This window comes from Homo sapiens, chromosome 9 (genome assembly GCF_000001405.40).
Source record: "Homo sapiens chromosome 9, GRCh38.p14 Primary Assembly".
In the NCBI taxonomy this organism is placed as follows: Eukaryota; Metazoa; Chordata; class Mammalia; order Primates; family Hominidae; genus Homo; species Homo sapiens.
In genome coordinates this window covers 122,019,190-122,037,912 of record NC_000009.12, presented here as the reverse complement: position 1 = coordinate 122,037,912, position 18,723 = coordinate 122,019,190, and the positions used below count along the sequence as shown (strand labels likewise).

The following is an 18,723-nucleotide window of genomic DNA, read 5'->3' as shown; positions in this document are numbered from 1 at the left end:
TGGTAGTTATGCCACATCCACTAGGGGTTTTCACCTAAGCATGCAGTCTTACAAGTTCACTACCATAGGCCACACTTAGCTCAGATTCACTTAGAAGGATACAGGGCAGGAAACACGGCTTGCTGGACAGTCAGTGTCAAGCATTTCTCTTCAGTGGAGTATTTGCAAGAGTTCCAGAGACTAGTCTCTGGCTCCTCAAGTGAAAGCTCAGGTGCAAAAGGACAAGATCCACATTGGTGGATATGAGTCTTTCTTGGCTTAGATGCCCCACAGAATCCAGTATCTTTTAGAACTGCTCCATAGTATGCCTTCTAAGGTCCAAGCAAGGGTCATATTAAGTTACAAGAATCATCGCACTCAGAAAAGCCTAGAGCAATGACTTTCTACTAGATATCTATGCAATTTACCAAATCAGGGATCATTTTAACCATATGCTTTGTGGCCTAGTAATTCAGCTAACATTCTACCTTCATTGTTTTCTAGGGGAACTGAGATAGAAAGTTAACCCAAGGTCAAATTTATCCTTAGAGAAGGAGAAAGGGTTTTGTTACAGAACAAGAATGATTCTTGCAGCCAGAGTTCTTACCCAACAGTTTAATGGGATAGCTATTATTTTTTGTGTCTTGCTGCTCAGAAAAGGATGCTTTGTGATGCCACTTAAAGGACTTATTAGGATATTGGGAGAATACAGTTTGGAAGAGAAAACGCTTTGAATGAGGACAGAGTTCCTAAGACATGAATCATCAAATGAGGCCTCATTTACATTTTCCCCATTTGCTCATGCCTCATCTAGTGTCTCAGAGTAGGAAAGAAGTAGCTATAGATCTACATTTGGAATACAAATTAGAAATATAGAATGAAGTACCCACAAAGGATTAGTTTCATAAAGGTGATAGAATGATATTCATTCCAAAGAAGCAAGTTTGCCCCATCCCATATTCCACATGCCGGTGATTGGAACATAGACTTTTCCACATTATTAACAGAAATTAATTAGTTCTAATGACAAAGCAGACTCTTAAACCTCTAGGCAGAGGAACAGTGCTGCCACACCCTCTACCCTGTGAAAGGTAGTAATCCTCAGCAGAGGGGTAATTCCAGAACAGTCTGGCCTCTGATACCAGTTTGTGTCCAAGCTTATCTTCTGTCTCTCATATATCTCATTATTCTAAAATGCACTTTCTATACATTGTATATTACTTAGGGTAAGTTCTAGTGGATATCCCAGGCAAGTGTAAACGCTTTATTTGCTGGGTCAACTGAGAACGGATATATACAGATGGAAGTGATTAATTTTGTTTGTGTCAGCACATTAGATTTTAGTCACTTTTCTATGGGTAATTTCCTGGTTCAAATTACATTATTATATTTTGGCTGATGAATTAAGACTTTCTATGAAAATAATCTGATTTAGATACGTCTAAAGAAAGTAGATTATTAGATATGTCTACTTTCTTTAGACGTATCTAAATCAGACATGTCAGATTAGACATATCAGATTTAGCTTTAAGAAAGTCCAAAACTGTCCATTCTCAGGTTCTGAGCAGGTCTTTTGCTGAGTTTCAGGGTCTGAGATGTATGGCATCACATGGCAGGTGGTACCTGAGAGCCCACCTGAGGAGGGGGCTTTCTGCTGGAGAGGGAGGGAGCTTCAGTGAGGAACCTGTGGGGACAGCCATCTGTCAAGCATTGGTCTGGGCTCTGGGGCTATAAAGACACAGAGAAAGGCATGTAAAGAGAGAAGAAAAATACAGCCTAGGGGCTTTGCTGGAGGAAGCTGGAATGCTGTGGGGGTCCGGAGCAAGGGCGGGCAACCTAACCCAGATTTGCCCAGGGAGCAGCAGGGTGAGAGCTCCTGGAGAACAGGACTGGCATGGAAACTGAGCCTCCAGGATGGATGGGCCTGATCCCCATGCCAAACAAGGGAGCAGAGTTGGTGCAAAGACAGAATGCCTTCAGCATATTACTCGTTCATCGAAGGGCAAGTGGCCTACCATGGTTAGAGGGCGTCAGGTGAGCAGGGCAGGGGAGGGGTGATGAGTAGGAACCCAACTACAGCATTGTTAGAGCCTGAAGGTCATAGGGAGCCACTGAGGAATTTTTAAGCCAGACAGTGACACGGGTCAGCTTGCATGTTAGCAAGATCAGCCAGAGGGACACATTAGAAATGAGATGGCTCAGAGAAGAAACAGAGATGTAGCTAAGAGTCTGCTGCAGCATCCACCCAAGAGATGAATGAATTAGTGGCAATCAGAATAGAGAGAACAGGATGGATCTGAAAGGATTTATTTGTTGTTTGGTGGTTCTAATATGTTTTTGCCAAGAATTATTGTTATAAATAATATTTTGATTGAATAGTGCTCCAAGTATAGCTCAGTTTTAGTTTGTTTTGTTTTACATTAACTGGGTTAAGTAGGGCTGCATGGGCAAACCTGAGGTTGAACTGTTATGCTGTCAGTTAACTTGAATGGGGTGAGACCCACCAGGCCTTGAGACTCCAGCGTAGCAGACAGAAAAGCCCAGGCCTCAGAAGGAGGGGCAGGAGGTAAGCCCTTGGTGTCAGAAACTCCCACCTGAATTAGGAGGTTTTCCCAATCGATAGGGGAACTGCCCTCATAGGGACATCTAGGGATAGACCTTATTGAGAAACCTAGGTGGGCAGTCAACCTCAAAAGGAGCTGTTAGGTAGCAGGACCCCAGACACTGGGTGAAAGTCACAGACAGGAGGATTCCAGCCCTTGCAGGGTGGGCTTGAGGGGAACAGAGGAGAGGTTGGAGAGAGGAGGGGCATTGGAGAGAACAAAGAAAAGGACGCAGCTCTGCATTGCTAAGGCAGCCACTCAGGCTCCAGGAGCAAAAGATAAGGTCACCAACATTTGGATACAAGCAATAGAACACCGGAAAAATGGGTAAAATCCTTCTTATCTGGTTGGAATACATAGTCTAGGTCAGACTTTTAGCAGAAGGGAGCTGGGGGTTAGACCTAGAGCTTCGATCTCAGTTCAGAATTGGTCCTAGAGCCCAGGGAGGGGACACAGGTGACGAGGGGTCAGGCGCTGCAGCTGCTTAGGGAAAGGGGACAGGGCCTGGAGCCAGTAGGGCCTGAAGTCAGCAGAGCTGGCCATGACCTTCCTTCTCACAGATTTACTCTGGGAACGCGTGCCCTGGATCAGCTAGAAACCCTGCTACGCTTGTCAGGGTCATAATGGAGAAGTTGCCACTCCCACACCTGTCTCTGAGCCACCTCCAGAGGTGGAGATGCCAGGAGCTTCCATGTGGGTTCTAGTGAGGGGCCAGAAACTCTTTCCCTGGTGGCACTGGATAGGAGCACAGCTTAGATATGGAGGAGCAAAGGTTTGGTGCTAAGTGGATTGAGAGAAGTCTACACCCGTCCCTCCTGGAGACAGGCATTCAGGCAGGTTTGGAGTGAGCTGCCTCCGGCCTGCAGGCAGGAAGTGCCTGGCTTCCAGGGGTGCTTCTTAAGTTGGCCATTTTCAGTAGAAAAACTGCCTGGAGACATGAAGGTAAACTTGGAAACACCTATTAGCTGGTGTGGGGCCTGATGGTGCACATTACAGAAGGAGCCATTGCCGATATTAAATGAATATTGACTGAATTTGCTGGACATAGATTTTCACAAAACTTTTCTGGAGCACCCAGACTGCCCTCAAGTACCCACAGCTCTCTGTGTTGTGTGAGCCCTTCTGACCTGCTGAGGGATTTCGGAAGAGAACATTCCCCCGGCACAACGACTTTAAAGTGCAGAAAATACCACAACACTATTTGGTCAGGAGGCATCCTCTACGTGGAGTAAGGTGCTGTATTACAGTTAGTTATGAAGGCTTTCAGTTCAATACGGTAACATTTTAATGTTAGTAAACCTCAAGCAAAAGGATTCCAAAAAAGTTGAAGTTTTGCTTTGTTTACTTTGCGGTCAGCTCTAGTGTTTATTATGCAACAATTCTAATTTCGAGGGAGAATAAAAGGAAATAGCTGTGATTTTCCAGACTCCCTTCTTGGGAAGCTCAGAACAGTGTCCTCAGTGAGTTTTCTTGACTATTGAACAGTCCATGTTAGAGCAGTTTATTAGTGCTTTTTAAGCTCCTTTATTTCTTACTTAATCCTTCCCTACATCCTTCTAAACAACAACTAAGACCTGGGCACTGACGTCTTGAAGCTGGGATCTTTAGATTTATTGCACTTTTTAATACGCTGATGGAAGCAAGAAGTTGGTTCTTAAAACTTTCCTTCCCAGATGTTTACCCTTTTCTTTCTGAACGTGGGAATTTAGAGGAAACTCATTCATTCTGACTGCCCATTTGGAATGTGTGATAATTTGGGCATGCCAAGCTGACATGGAACTTTGTATTTTCTATTAAAAATAGCTTTGCCAAGCACATTTCTAGTATCAGTAATGGAACTGTTTGGTCTCTTTCAGGGTAAAGGCCATTTGTAGCCACCATTTTTGGCAATGATATTTGTCTTAAGAAACAAGCATGATAGCCGGGTGCGGTGGCCACGTCTGTAATCCCAGCACTTTGGGAGGCCGAGGGGGGTGGATCACCTGAGGTCAGGAGTTTGAGACCAGCCTGGCCAACATGGTGAAACCCCTTCTCTACTAAAAATACAAAAATTTGCTGGGCATGGTGGTGCACACCTGTAATCCCAGCTACTCAGGAGGCTGAGGCAGGAGAATTGCTTGAACCTAGGAGGCGGCGGTTGCAGTAAGCCAAGATCGTGCCATTGCACTCCAGTCTAGGCAACAAGAGCGAAACTCTGCCTAAAAAGAAAAAGAAAAAGAAATAAGGATGATGCCAGGCATGGCGGCTTACACCTGTAATTCCAGGGCTTTGGGAGGCCAAGGCAGGTGGATGGCTTGAGCCTAGAAGTTCGAGACTAGCCTGGGCAATAGTGAGACCCTGTCTCTACAAAAACAAAAACAATACAAAAATTAGCCGGGCATGGTGGCACACACCTGTAGTCCCAGCTACTCGAGAGGCTGAGGTGGGAGGATCCCTTGAGCCTGGGAGGTGGAGGTTGCAATGAGCTGAGATCATGCCACTGCACTCCAGCCTGGGCATTAAAGCAAGGCTGTGTTTCAAAAAAAAAAAAAAAGAAAAAATGAAATAAACATGCTAAAATTGATAATAATTTTTACCTATTTGCTTAAAATTTGCTACAATATATAGTACTCAGTTTCTTCTCTTGTCAGAGTTACTAATGATGTTACAAGAAAAAAAATCCACCAACCTTTTTTTTTTTTTTGAGACGGAGTCCTGCTCTGTTGCCCAGACTGGAGTGCAGTGGCTCGATCTTGGCTCATTGCAAGCTCCGCCTCCCAGGTTCACACCCCCACCATTCTTTTAATGTTTTATAACAGTGAGACATTTCAATTCCCTCTGGGCAAATTAATGAGATAGGATCAATGTCAGTGTCAGTCCTTATAACTGAGGAACTCCTACAGATTGCATTTTTCCCTTGAAGTATAAATTTTGGTATTCTTTTTATTTCCTGTCCTTCATTCAAGGAGACAGATTTTATGCTGAAAGATGTGTGTTTTCCTATTCCATGCCTTTAATACTCATGAAACAGTAAAAGAAGTAAACTTAATTAAGCCTCTCATAATGTAACCAGAGTCCACTAGATGATATTCTCTAGGGTACAAGACGGAAGGAATCCCAGAAGCACGTAAGGTGGCCCCAAATTAAAGAAGGTATTAAATTTTAAGTGCAAGATATAAATGCTTCCCTATTCATTACCTAAGGGGGTGACAAAGAATAAAAGAATAAACTAGGTGAAAACTCATTCCTTCAAACTGATGCTTCATTTTTATAAAGAGAAAAGAACACCCGTCCGTTACCTCAAGTTTTTCATTAACTCAGTAGTTCTTTCCAAACCATGAGTCACCGCTGTGGGGAACAACTCAGACCTTTTTTAAAAATCCTGCCTGAAAAAGAGAATATGTCGGGTGGGTGGTTTTAAAAGTCCCAAATAATGGCTGTTTTATAGCTAGTAGCCCACTGTTGTTAAAACCTCACAGCGTCTCTTCTCCCCAGGCATGACGGAGATGGTGCGTAAAATTACTCTGAGCAGAGCAGTGAGAACCATGCAGAATCTCTTTCCTGAGGAGTACAACTTCTACCCTCGCTCATGGATTCTGCCTGACGAGTTCCAGCTCTTTGTTGCTCAGGTAGATGGCACTCCGTCCCCATGACCCCTGAATTATATTATGCTTGCAACTGTGTCCTGGGTCCTGTGTGCTGGGAGCTGGGACAGGGGGTCCCAGGGAGCTGCGACTAAGGGAGCATCTTAACAGTACACAGTAGGTGTTGGCAGCTATCAAAACAGCTTGCAGAGTTGAACGAGTAGGGTGACAGGTAGGTAAACTGAAGAAACGGGTCTTGACACAAGGAGACAGCCCTAAGGCGGATATCAAAACTGGATCATGGAGTCAGGACGCTGGGGAGCCAGGGAGCTGGAGCCGGAGCAGGTGGCTGGGCCCCCAAGTAGGATGGGGCCGCTGGGGGAATCCTAGAGCCGTGGCCTCGCCGGCTTCCTGTGGCCTGAGATGTGGGAGGTCAGGCTCTGTTTAAAGGCCAGGGAGCAGGTCTGACAAACTCATGGGGAACCTTTTCAGTGTTTTGCTTTAAACTTGTTCCAGAATCAATTGTCAAGTGACCCATTCCATCTCGAAGCACCAGGTTTGAGCATGTAATACACTGGAGCCCTCACCACTGATTGTGAAGTGGAACTCAGAACTGCCATTTTTGTTAGCCTTTTAACAGTTTCATTTAGGACCCCTTCAAAGCCTTTGTGTACAAGTTTCACAGTCTGTCCCATAACTCTGGGGTGACTATACAACCAATGCCTGTCTAATTGTGATAAGGCTAACACCATTTACTGGTCCTGCTATGTTCCAGGCTTTGTGCTAGAAGTTTAACATATTTTATTTATTTTTATTTTTGTGTTTTTGAGACGGAGTGTTGCTCTGTTGCCTAGGCCAGAGTGCAGTCGTGAGATCTTGGCTTACTGCAGCTTCCACCTCCTGGGTTCAAGCCATTCTCCTGCCTCAGCCTTCTGAGTAGCTGGGACTACAGGCGGGTGCCACCACACCGGCTTTTTTTTTTTTTTTTTTTGTATTTTTTGTATTTTTGGTAGAGATGGTGTTTCACCATGTTGGCCAGGCTGGTCTCGATCTCCTGACCTCAAGTGATCTGCCCGCCTCAGCCTCCCAAAGTGCTGCGATTATAGGCATGAGCCACCACGCCCAGCCCACATTATTTCTTTTAATCTTCATAGCAATCTTGTGAGGCTGGTTTTATTATTATCCCCATTTTATGGATGAGGAAACTGAGGCTTTGAAAAATTTAGCAACTTGCTTGAGAAGTAAGGTTTAAAACCTAGAGCTATTTCCAAGGCATATGCTTTCTGAGTCTATTTTATTGCCTCTGTATTGTTTTGGTTTTAATATTGAATTATAAAACTTGTAATAAAATTATCATTTACTAAACACAAAAACAGCTTGAAGTGATAATTTTTAAAGGAAGTTTTCTCTGAGATGGTGGTCACATGGGTTTATATACATTGCTTAAAATTCATCGAACTATTAACTTAAAATGGGTGCATTTAATTGTATGCAAACTATGCTTCAATAAAGTTAATTTTAAAAGATAACTCTCAGCTGTTCCTCATAATTACCCCCCCCCCCCCAATGTCTCTCTTCTGTGGCTCTGCTCATGCTGTTGTTGCTATGTGGAATACCTTTCCTTCCCAGCTTTGCATCCAACTACAGTCATGAGTCACTTGACGGGCACACATTCTGAGAAAAGTGTCATTGGGTGATTTCATCATTGTGCCAACACCATAGAGTGTGCTTACACAAGCCTAGATGGTATAGGCTCCTACACATCCAGGCTATACGGTATAGCCTATCGCTCCTAGGATACAAACCTGTATAGCATGGTACTGGACTTAATATTGGTAAGTCTTTTTTGTATCTAAACATAGAAAGGGGAAAATACTGTATAAAAGATGAAAAATGATACACCTATGTAGGATACTTCCCATGAATGGAGCTTGCAGGACTAGAAGTTGCTCTGGGTGAGTCTGTGAGTGAATGGTAAGGGAATGTGAAGGCCTAGGACATTATACTACTGCAGACTTCAGAAACACTGTACACTTAGGCTACACTAAATCTATTTTTAAAAAATTTTCTTCGATAAATTAGCCTTAGCTTACTGTAACTTTTTACTTTCTAAACTTTTTATTTTTTAAAAACCTTTTAGACTCTTTTGTAATAACACTTAGCTTAAAACACACACTGTACAGCTGTACAAAAAAAATTTCCTTATATTCTTATTCCCTAAGCCTTTTTCTATGTTTAAATGTTAAAATTATTTTTACTTTTAGAATTTTTTGTTAGAAAACCAAGACACAAACACATACCTTCGCCTAGGCCTACACGGGGTCAGGATCATCAATATCACTGTCTTCCACCTCCACTTCTTATCCCACTGGAAGGTCTTCAAGGAGCAGTAACATGCGTAGGGCTGTCATATCCTATGATAACAGTGCTTTCTTCTGGAATACCTCCTGAAGAACCTGCCTGAGGCTATCCTACAGTCAACTTTTTTTTTTAGAAGTAGAAGGAGTACACTCTAAAATAACAATAAAAAGTATACTATAGTAAATACAGAAGCTAGTAACGTAGTAGTTTATTATCATTATCAAGTATTCTGTACAGTGCATAATTGTATTATACTGCACTTTTATACAACTGGCAGTGCAGTAGGTTTGTTGACACCTGCAACACCACAAACATGAGTAATGCACTGTGCTACAAAACTAAGATCACTGATTTTTAAATCTTAAAACAAATTTCTTTCTAGGCACTGCTATGGATACATCTCAGGAATTTTTGTATGTTACATTTTCATTATAATTCAGTTGAAAATGTTCTCTAATTTCCCTTGGGATTTCTCCTCTGCCCATGGGTTATGTAGAAATGTGTTGTTTACTTTTTAAGTCATTTGCGGACTTTCCAAATATTTTTTGTATGATTTCTAATTTAATTTTGTTGACATCAGAGAGTATATTCTGTATTATCTCAGTCTCTTTAAATTTGTTGAGAGTTTTCTAATGGCTTACACATTGTCCATCTTGATGAGTGTTTCATGGCCCTGGGAAATAATAAGTATTCTGGAGTTGTTGATGTAGCATCTTATAAGTGTCAATTAGGCCAAGTTGCTATTGGTGGTATTCACATCTTTTTTACTACTTTACTACTTACTAGTTCTATCAGTTACTAAGTTAGTGTTGAAATTTCCAGCTTTAATTTTGGATTGTCTGCTTCTCTTTTTAGTTCTGTCAGTGTTTTCCTCATGCATTTTGAAGCTCCGTTATTAGCTTGATGATTTGACTCCTTTATCAGTAACTTGTCCTGAAGTCTATTTTGTCTGATATTAATTTAGCACCTCCAGTTTTCTTTGGCTTAGTATTTGCATGGTATATCTTTTTACCATTATTTTACTTTTAACCTATCTGCATTTTTAAAGAGTGCTTCTTGTTGGCAGCATGAAACTGAGTATGGTCTTTTATTCAGTTTGACAGTCTCTGCCTTTTGATTTGTGTGTTTAGTCCAGTTAATCTTAATATGTAATACTAACTGTTGGATTCAAGTCTACCATCTTACTATTTCTTTTCTATTTATTCTGTTGGATTAATTGAATATTTTTAGTGTTTTATTTTATCTCTTCTTTCGGCTTATTAGCTATACTTCTTTTAAAAATCTTTTTAGTTTTCACCCTAGCCCTAGTATCTAGGGTTTACAATGCATCTTTAACTTACCACATTGGCCTTTAAGTATTACATACTTCAAGTAACATATTAGCGCCTTACAGCAGTATAGTTCCATTCCCGCCCTCATCCTTTGTGCTATCGTCATCTGTTTTACTTCTAACAATATTATAAACCACACAATACATTGTTATTATTTTTGCTCTAAAAAGTCAATTATCCTATAAAGAAACTAAAAGATTAGTACATTTGTCTTTTATACTCACTCATGTATTTACTATTTCCAGCATTCTTCATTCCTTTGAATGGCTCTGGGATTCCATTTGGTATTATTTTCCTCTGGCCTCAAGAATTTGCATCAACACATTTCTCACAGTGCAGGTCTGCTGGTGACAAATTCCCTCAGCTTTCATTTGTCTGAAAATGTCTTTATTTTGCCTTCAGTTTTTAAACTGCTTTGAAATAATTTAAAACTCAACAAAAAAGTTGCAAAAATAGGACAGAGAGAGCACCCCAAATTCTTCATCTAACTTCCTCTAATGTTAACATCTTACACAGTGACTGAAACTAGGAAATTAACATTGATATAATATGAAATAACCTATGCTCTTTATTTGCATTTTGCCTGTTGTCCTACTAATGTCCTTTTTCTGGTACAGGATTCACTCCATGATCCCTCATTGCATTTAGTTGTCATTTCTCCCCAGTCTTCTCTAGGTTGTAATGGTTCCCTGGTCTTTGTCTTTTGTGACCTTGACTCTTTTGAAGAGTACTGGTGATACAGTTTGGATCTGTGTCCCCACCAAATCTCATGTTGAATTGTAATTCCCCTGTGTTGGAGGTGAGGCCTGGTGGGAGGTGATTGGATCATGGGGACAGATTTCCCCCCTTGGTGTTGCATAGTGATAGAGTTCTCATGAGATCTGGTTGTTTAAAAGTGTGTAGCACCTCCCTCCTTTCTCTCTTGCTCCTGCTCCAGCAACCTAAGATGTGCCTGCTTTCCTTTTGCCTTCTGCCACGATTGAGAGTTTCCTGAAGCCTCCCCAGAAGCCAAGCAGGTGCCACCATCATGCTTCCTGTACAGCCTGTGGAACTGTGATCCAATTAAACCTCTTTTCTTTATAAATTACCCAGTCTCAGGTATTTCTTTATAGCAGTGTGAGAACAGTCTAATACGACTGGCTAGTTTTTTTTTTTTTTTTTTTTTTAGAATGAACTTACATTTGGATTTGTCTGATTTTTCTCATGTTAGATTCAGATTAGACATTTTTGGCAAGAACACCATGAAAGTGATGTTGCTAAGTACATGATGTCAAGATGTCTTATCCCTGGTGATGTTAACTTTGATCACTTAGTTAAAGTAGTGTCTGCTAGATTTCTCCACTATAAAGTTACTATTTTTTTCCTTTTTAATTACTAAGTGTCTAGTAAGGAGATATTTTGAGACTCTGCAGAGAGCCTAGTTGTCTTATACTTTTTAACAGACAGCTTTATTGAGATATAATCGACATAGAATAAACTACAGATATTTAGAATGTACAGTTTTATACATTTCATATATGTAAAAATCCGTGAAATCATCACCACAATCAAGATAATGAACATATGCATCATGCTGAAATTTTTCCTCGTGTCCCTTTGTAATCCTTCTGTCCTTCCCTTCTTTTTTTTTTTTTTTTTGAAATGGAGTCTTGCTCTGTTGCCCAGGCTGGAGTGCAGTGGCGTGATCTTGGCTCACTACAACCTCCACCTCCCAGGTTCAAGCAATTCTCCTGCCTCAGCCTCCTGAGTAGCTGAGATTACAGGTATGTGCCACCATGTCCAGCTAATTTTTGTATTTTTATTACAGATGGGTTTCACCATGTTGGCCAGGCTGGTCTCCAACTCCTGACCTCAAGTGATCCGCCTGCCTCAGCCTCCCAAATTGTTGGGATTATAGACATGAGCCACCACGCCCAGCCCCTCCTTCGCTTCTTCCCTCTTTTCCTCCTCTCCTATCATCAGGCAACAGTGGATCCACTTTCTGTCAAGATAACTTTGCACTTTGTAGAATTTTATGTAAATGGCATTATATAACAGGCACTCCTTTTTCGGGGGAGGTCTGGCTTCTTTCAGTTATTTTGAGATTCATCCATATTTGTAGTATGTATCAATACTTCATTGCCAAGGAGTATTCTATTGAATGTTTATACCACAGTTTGCTTAGACCTTCACCTGCTGCAGGACATTTGGGTTGATTCCAGTTTTCTGGCTGTTACAAATACACCATGAACACCTGTGGTAAGTCTTTGCGTGGACATGTTTTCATTCTTCCTGGGTGAATGCTTAAAAATTGAATTGCTGGATCATATAGTAGGTGCATATTTAATTTTAAAGAAAGTATTGTCTTCCAAAGTAGTTGTGTCATTTTATCATCCCATCAACAATGTATGAACATTCCAATTCCTCCATATCTTTGCCAGAATTTGGTAATGGTCAGTCTATTTATTTATTTACTTAAGAGTGGGTCTTGCTCTGTCCCCCAGGATGGAGTGCAGTGGCCCGATCACAGCTCACTGCAGCCTCCATCTCCCAGGCTCAAGCGATCCTCCCAAGTAGCTGGAACTACAGGCACAGGCCACCACACCTGGCTAATTTTTGTATTTTTTGTAAAAACAGGGTTTCACCATGTTGCCCAGGCTGGTCTTGAACTCCTGAGCTCAAGCGATCCACCTGCCTCGGCCTCCAAAAGTGCTGGGATTACAGGCGTGAGCCACTGCTCCTGTCTGTCACCTTACAGGGCCAGTGGTCAGTCTTTTTAATTTTAGCCATTCTAATAGGTATGTAGTGACCTGTCATCAGTTGTATTTTGCACTTCCTAAAGACTAATGATGTGGAGCTTTCTTTTCATGTGCTTGTTTGCCATCCAGATATATTTTTTGATGAAATGTCTGTTCACATGTTTTGCCTATTTTTTTTTAATTGGGTTGTTTATTTTTATTATTGAGCTTTGAGAATTTTTATATATTTTGAATACAGGTGTTTATGAGATATACCAATTGTAAATATTTTCTTCCAGTCTGTGCCTTTTTTTATTTTTTAATTTTTAATATTTGTGTCTACATAGTAGGTACATATACTTATGGGGTATGTGAGATGTCTTCTCATTCTCTTATTATCCTTTGAAAAGCAAGTTTTTAATTTTGACAAAGTCCAATTTATCAATTTTTTAATAGATCATGCTTTTTGTGTCATATATAGGAATTTATATCTAACCCAAGCTCACAAAGATATTCTGCTATGTTTTTGTCTAAAAGTTCTATAGTTTTAGCTTTCGAATTTAGGTCTGTGATTCATTTTGAGTTAATTTTTGTATATGGTGTAAGGTATGGGTTGAAGTTCACTTTTTTGCATACGAATATCCAGTTGTTCCAGAAACATTTGATCAGAACACTAATCTTTCTCTTCCAAATTGCCTTTGCACCAGTGTCAAAAACAGTTATCCAAATATGTGTAGGTATATTTCTGAATTCTGTATTCTGTGTCTTTGATCTATTTGTCTCTCTTTCTGCCAAAACCTCACTGTTTTGATATAGCTTTATAAGCCTTGAAATCAGGTAGTGTAAGCTCTCCAACTTTGTTCATCTTTTTCAAAGTTGTTTTGGCTATTGTAGTCTTTGATCAGCCATATGAAATATAGAATCAGCTTGTCAATGTCTACAAAAAAGCCCACTGGGATTTTGAATGGAATTGTGCTGAATCTATATATCACTTTGAGTAGAATCAACATCTTAACAATGAGTCTTCTGACCCATTGACATGGTGTATCTTTCCTTTTATTTAGGTCTTTAATTTCTTTGAACAGTGTTTTTTAGTTTTTAGCGTACAAGTATTTCACATCTTTTGTCACAATTTTCCCTTATGATTTCCAATTTTTGATATATTGGCAGTGTTTTATTTTTAAACTTCCATTTCTAATTGTTCATTGTATGTAAAAATAAAATTGCTTTTTGTGTATTGATCTTGTATCCTGCAACCTTGTTAAACTTATTTAACAGTTCTAGTAGCTTATTTTGTACTTCCACTGGATTTTCTATATGGACTATTACATCCTCTGAGAATTGAATGGTTTTGTCTTACTTTGTAATTAGCCGTTTATTTCTTTTTCTTGCCTTATGGCACTGGCTAGAACCTCCAAATAATGTTAAGTAGAAGTGGTGTGAACAGATGTCCGGGACTTTTTCCTGATCTTAGGGGTTATGGATTTCGTCTTTCATCATTAAGTATTGTTGTTAGTTGTAGGTTTCTTGTAGATGTTCTTTATCAGATTGATGAAGTTTCCTTTTATTTCTTGTTTCCATGGATTTTGTTTGTTTTTAATTAGGAATGGATGTAGGATTTTGTCACTCTTTTTTTTTTCCCTGTGTCTACTGAGATGATCATATGGATCTTCTTTTTTAGCTTGTTAATGTGGTTGAGTTACATTGGTTGATTTTTAAATATTAAACAAACCCTGCATCCCTAAGACAAACTCCACTTAGTCATAACATATTATCCTTTTTATATATTGTGGAATTTTGATTTACTAAAATGTTCTTTATTTGCATCTATATTCATGAGGGATATTGGTTTGCATTTTTATTTTTATTTTTTTGTAATGTCTTTGGTTCGTTATCAGGATAATGCTGGCCACACAGAATGAATTATAAAATATTTTCTACTTTTAAATTTTCTAGAAGAGTTTTTTCAGAGTTGGTATTATTTCTTTAAATGTTTGGTAAAATTCACTAGGGAAATCATGTGAGCTTGGTATTTTCTTTGTGGGAAACTTTTAACTACAAATTCAATTTCTTTGATAGATATAGGCTGTTCATATTATCTATTTCTTCTTGAATGAGCTTTAATAGTTTGTTTTCAAGAAATTTGTCTACTTTTTCTAAGTTTTCACTTGTATTGGTGTAAAATGATTCATAATGTTACCTTTAGTAATCTGCCTTTACCTTTACTAATGATACCTCTTAGTCCTAACATTTGTAATCTGTGTTTTTTATTTTTCTTTTTTTCCCTCTGCTCAGTCTGTTTAGAAGTTTTCAGTTTTATTGATTTCCTTTGTTGGCATAATAGCTATAGTTGTTTTGTTTTTAGTGGTTCCTTTAAAATTTATGGTATACATTTTTGAGTTATCACAATCTACCTTTAAGTTATATAGTACTATTTTATTTATAGTATGAGAACCTTATAACACTCATAGTACTTCCATTTTCCCACACCTAGCTTTTATGCTGTTGTTTTTATACATTTTACTTTTATACTTATTATAAACTCCAGACTACATTGTTATCATTTTTGTTTTAACAATCAACTCTATTTTAAAGAGATTTAAATAACAAGATGAAATAATTTTAAATATTTACTCATATATTTACCATTTCCAGTGTTCTGTATTTTTTTGTGTAGATTCACATTTCTGTCAGGTATCATTTTTCTTTTGTGTAAATAACTTTCTGTAGCATTTCATGCAGTGAGGGTCTTTTGGTGATGAATTCTCTCAACTTTTATATTTCTTGAAATTTATTTTGCCTTTGGTTTTGGATGATATTTTCTCTAGGTGTAGAATTCTAGGTGGACATTTTGTTTTTCTTTCAGCACTTTTAATATATTGCTCTTCTGTCTTCTTGCTTATATTGTTTCTGAAAAGAAATCTGTTTTCTTCCTTATTTTTGATCTTCTTTATATAACATTCTTTTTCTCTTGCTGCTTTTAATATTTTTTCTTTATCATTGGTGTTGAACAATTTGATTATGATGTGTCTTGATGTAATTTTCTTTTATATTTCTCATGTTAAAGCTCATGTTTCTCATTGAGCTTTTGGACCTGTGGGTTTATAATTTTAATAAAATTTGGAAAATATTTGCCCATTATTTCTTCAGATTTTTTTTCTATGCCTCTTCACTTCTACTTCACTCTAATTACGTACATATTAGTACATCTGAAGTTGTCCCACAGTTCACTGATGTTCTGTTCATTTAAAAAAATCATTCTGTTTCATTTTGGAGAGTTTCTGTTGTTTTGTCTTCACATTCACTCATTTTTTTCATTCTTGTCGAATAATCCCATTCAATCTCTTATCTCACATATTGTAGTTTTTATTTCTAAACATGAGAGTTGAGTCTTTTTAACTATCTTCCATATTTCTACTTAACTTTTTGAACATATGGAATGCATTATAATCACTCTCATAATGTCACTGTCTCCTAATTCTAACTCTGTCCATTCTGAGTTGGTTTTGATTTTTCTCTTCATTGTGGCCCATATCACGATGTTTTTTTCATGTCTGGGAGTTTCTAGCTGGGTGACAGATATAGTGAATCTTACCTTATTTGGATGTTGGATATTTCCATATTCCTGCACATATTCTTGAACTTTGTTGTAAGATCCAGTTCAGTTACTTGGAAATAGATTTCAGGTCTATTTCAAGATTTTCAAGATTTGTTAAGCAGGACTGGAGTGGTACTCAGTCTAAGGCTTACTATTCCTCACTACTCAAGCAACAGTCTTATGTGTGCTCTACCCAGTGCTCCATGAATCATGTTTTCTAGTCTGGCTGGTGAGAAAGACACTACTCCTGGCTCTGTGTGAACACCAGGCACTGCTACCTCTGCTTTTTTGGGGGTGTTTTTCAGGTAGTTTGGCCTTGGGTAGTTTCCTCACGTGCATGCTGATCTGTACCTAGCAAAACATTTAAGGAAGACGCTCCAGAGTTCTCTGTACAAAAGTGTCCTTCCCAGTACTCTGTCCTGAGAACCCTGGCTATCTCAGTCTTCCCTGACTCACAGTTCCATTTTCTCAACTCAGGGCGTCCACTGGGCTTCACCAAGGTCCTACTGGGGCACTCTGCACTGCAGCCTGGAATCTTTCTCAAGGCAGTAATCTGAGGCAATCCTAGGGTTCACATCGTTCAATTCCTATCTCTCAGGAATCACTGTCCTTTGTTGCTTCATATCCAGGTCTTCAAAACTGTTAACATATTTTGTCTACTTTTTGGTTGCTCGAGCGATGCGGGGCAAGAGTCAATCTAGTTTCTGTTATTACACTTTGGCTGAAAGTGGAAGTTCTCTAAAAGAATGACTACATAACAATAACAATAGCAACATTTGCTGAGTGTTTTTATCTAGACTACTGTTTTAGGAAGTTTGGGCTGCTACAATTGAATATCATAAACTGGGTGACGAATAACAAACTTTTTTTTCTCACAGTTTCGAAGGCTGGAAATCCAAGATCAGCATGCCAGCATGGTTGGGTTCTGGTGAGGGCCCTCTTCCTGGTTTATAGCTGGTCACCTTCTCATTGTTTGCCTACCTGGTAGAGAGAAAGGACTAGCTGCCTTCCTCCTCTTATAAGGACACTAGTCCCATCGTGTGGGGTCCACCTCCATGCTCTAATTGCCCTCCAAAGAGCCTACCTCTTAAAACCATCCCCTTGGGGGTTAGGGTTTCAATATCTGAATGCAGAGGTGGGGTGGGAACACAAGCATATAGTCCATAACAATTACCTAATTTAAAATTCTTTAGCAACCCTCGCAGGATTCTTCTATTATTCATAGGAGAGGAAACTGAAGTACAGAGAGGTTAAGTCATTTGGCAGGGTTAACACAGTTTGGAAGACTGGCTTCAGTGCCAGTACTTTTCCCTTCTGTGTAATAATGTGGGAGGATATTTAAATAGAAGTGTGTATAAGGTACAGAAATGTTCCAGAGAAAAGGAGTAAAACTTTGTTGGTGATGGGGAGCAGGGTTGGACAGGGCTGAGGGCAAATGGAATAGAGGGAGAGAAAAAGCTTCCTGAGTAGTGGTGACACCTGACCTGATTTTGTATAATGAGTTTACCTGGCAGACCAGCCACAGAAGAGCATTCTACCTAAAAACAATAGCTTGTGCAAAGGTACGAAGTCATGAAATAGTATGGCATTTTGGAATGATGAGCAGTGTGGAGTCACTAAAGTTTAAGAGAAAAGGATTTAGGGCAGGCATGGCGGCTTACAGCTTGTATTAGTTTGCTTTCATGCTGCTGTTAAAGACATACCTGGGACTGGGTAATTTATGAAGAAAAAGAGGTTTAATGGACTCACAGTTCCACATGGCTGGGGATGCCTCACAATCATGGCAGAAGGCGAAAGGCACATCTTATATGGTGACAGGCAAGAGAGACTATGAGAACCAAGTGAAAAGGGAAACCCCTTATAAAACAGTCAGATCTTGTGAGACTTATTCACTACCATGAGAACAGTATGGGGGAAACTGCCCCTATGATTCAGTTATCTCCCACTGGGTCCCTCCTACAATACATGGGAATTATAGGAGCTACAATTCAAGATAAGATTTGGGTGGGGACACAGCCAAACCGTATCATGCCTGTAATCCCAGCACTCTGGGAGGCTGAGGCAGGCAGATTGCTTGAGTCCAGGAGTTCGAGACCAGCCTGGGCAACATGACGAAACCCTGTCTCTACTAAAAATATGAACGATTTACCGGGTGTGGTGGTATGTGTCTGTAGTCCCACCTACTCGGGAGGCTGATGTGGGAGAATCACCTGAGCCCAGGAGGTCGAGGCTGCAGTGGGCCAAGATCATGCCACTGCATTCCAGTCTGGGCAAACAGAGTGAAACCTTGTCTCAAAAAAATAATAAAAATAAATGAAAAGGATCTGACCCCAGATGAGATTTGAGAAGGAGAGGGTAGATCACAGAGGGTCTTGAATGCCAAGGTAAAGCGCTTATCAAGGGGAAGCCATGCAGGGGTTTTAAGTGCAGAGGGGAGAGGTATATTATCAAGTTTTAGTATTAGAAAGGTGATCTGTTGGAGAGGATAGCGTAGATTGGGAAGGAGGAGAAATGAGACCTATTAGAAAGGCTGTTCTATTCATCTAGGCAGAAGAGATGCTGAAGGTTGTA

At 39.7% G+C, this 18,723-nt stretch overlaps 1 protein-coding gene across 8 annotated transcripts in view; it reads left to right on the top strand.

The window, feature by feature from the left end:
• The window catches only part of TTLL11 (tubulin tyrosine ligase like 11), a 277,635-nt gene that overhangs the window by 55,396 nt on the left and 203,516 nt on the right, over positions 1-18,723 (top strand). For all 8 annotated transcript variants that reach the window (XR_001746188.2, XR_929721.4, XR_929720.4 and 5 more), the window contains exon 3: positions 6,057-6,190. Coding sequence is in view for 5 of the 8 variants with exons in the window: in XM_047422825.1 (XP_047278781.1) it covers positions 6,057-6,190 (134 nt within the window). In the remaining 3 variants the exon portion in view is untranslated. The remainder of the gene's footprint in view (positions 1-6,056; positions 6,191-18,723) is intronic.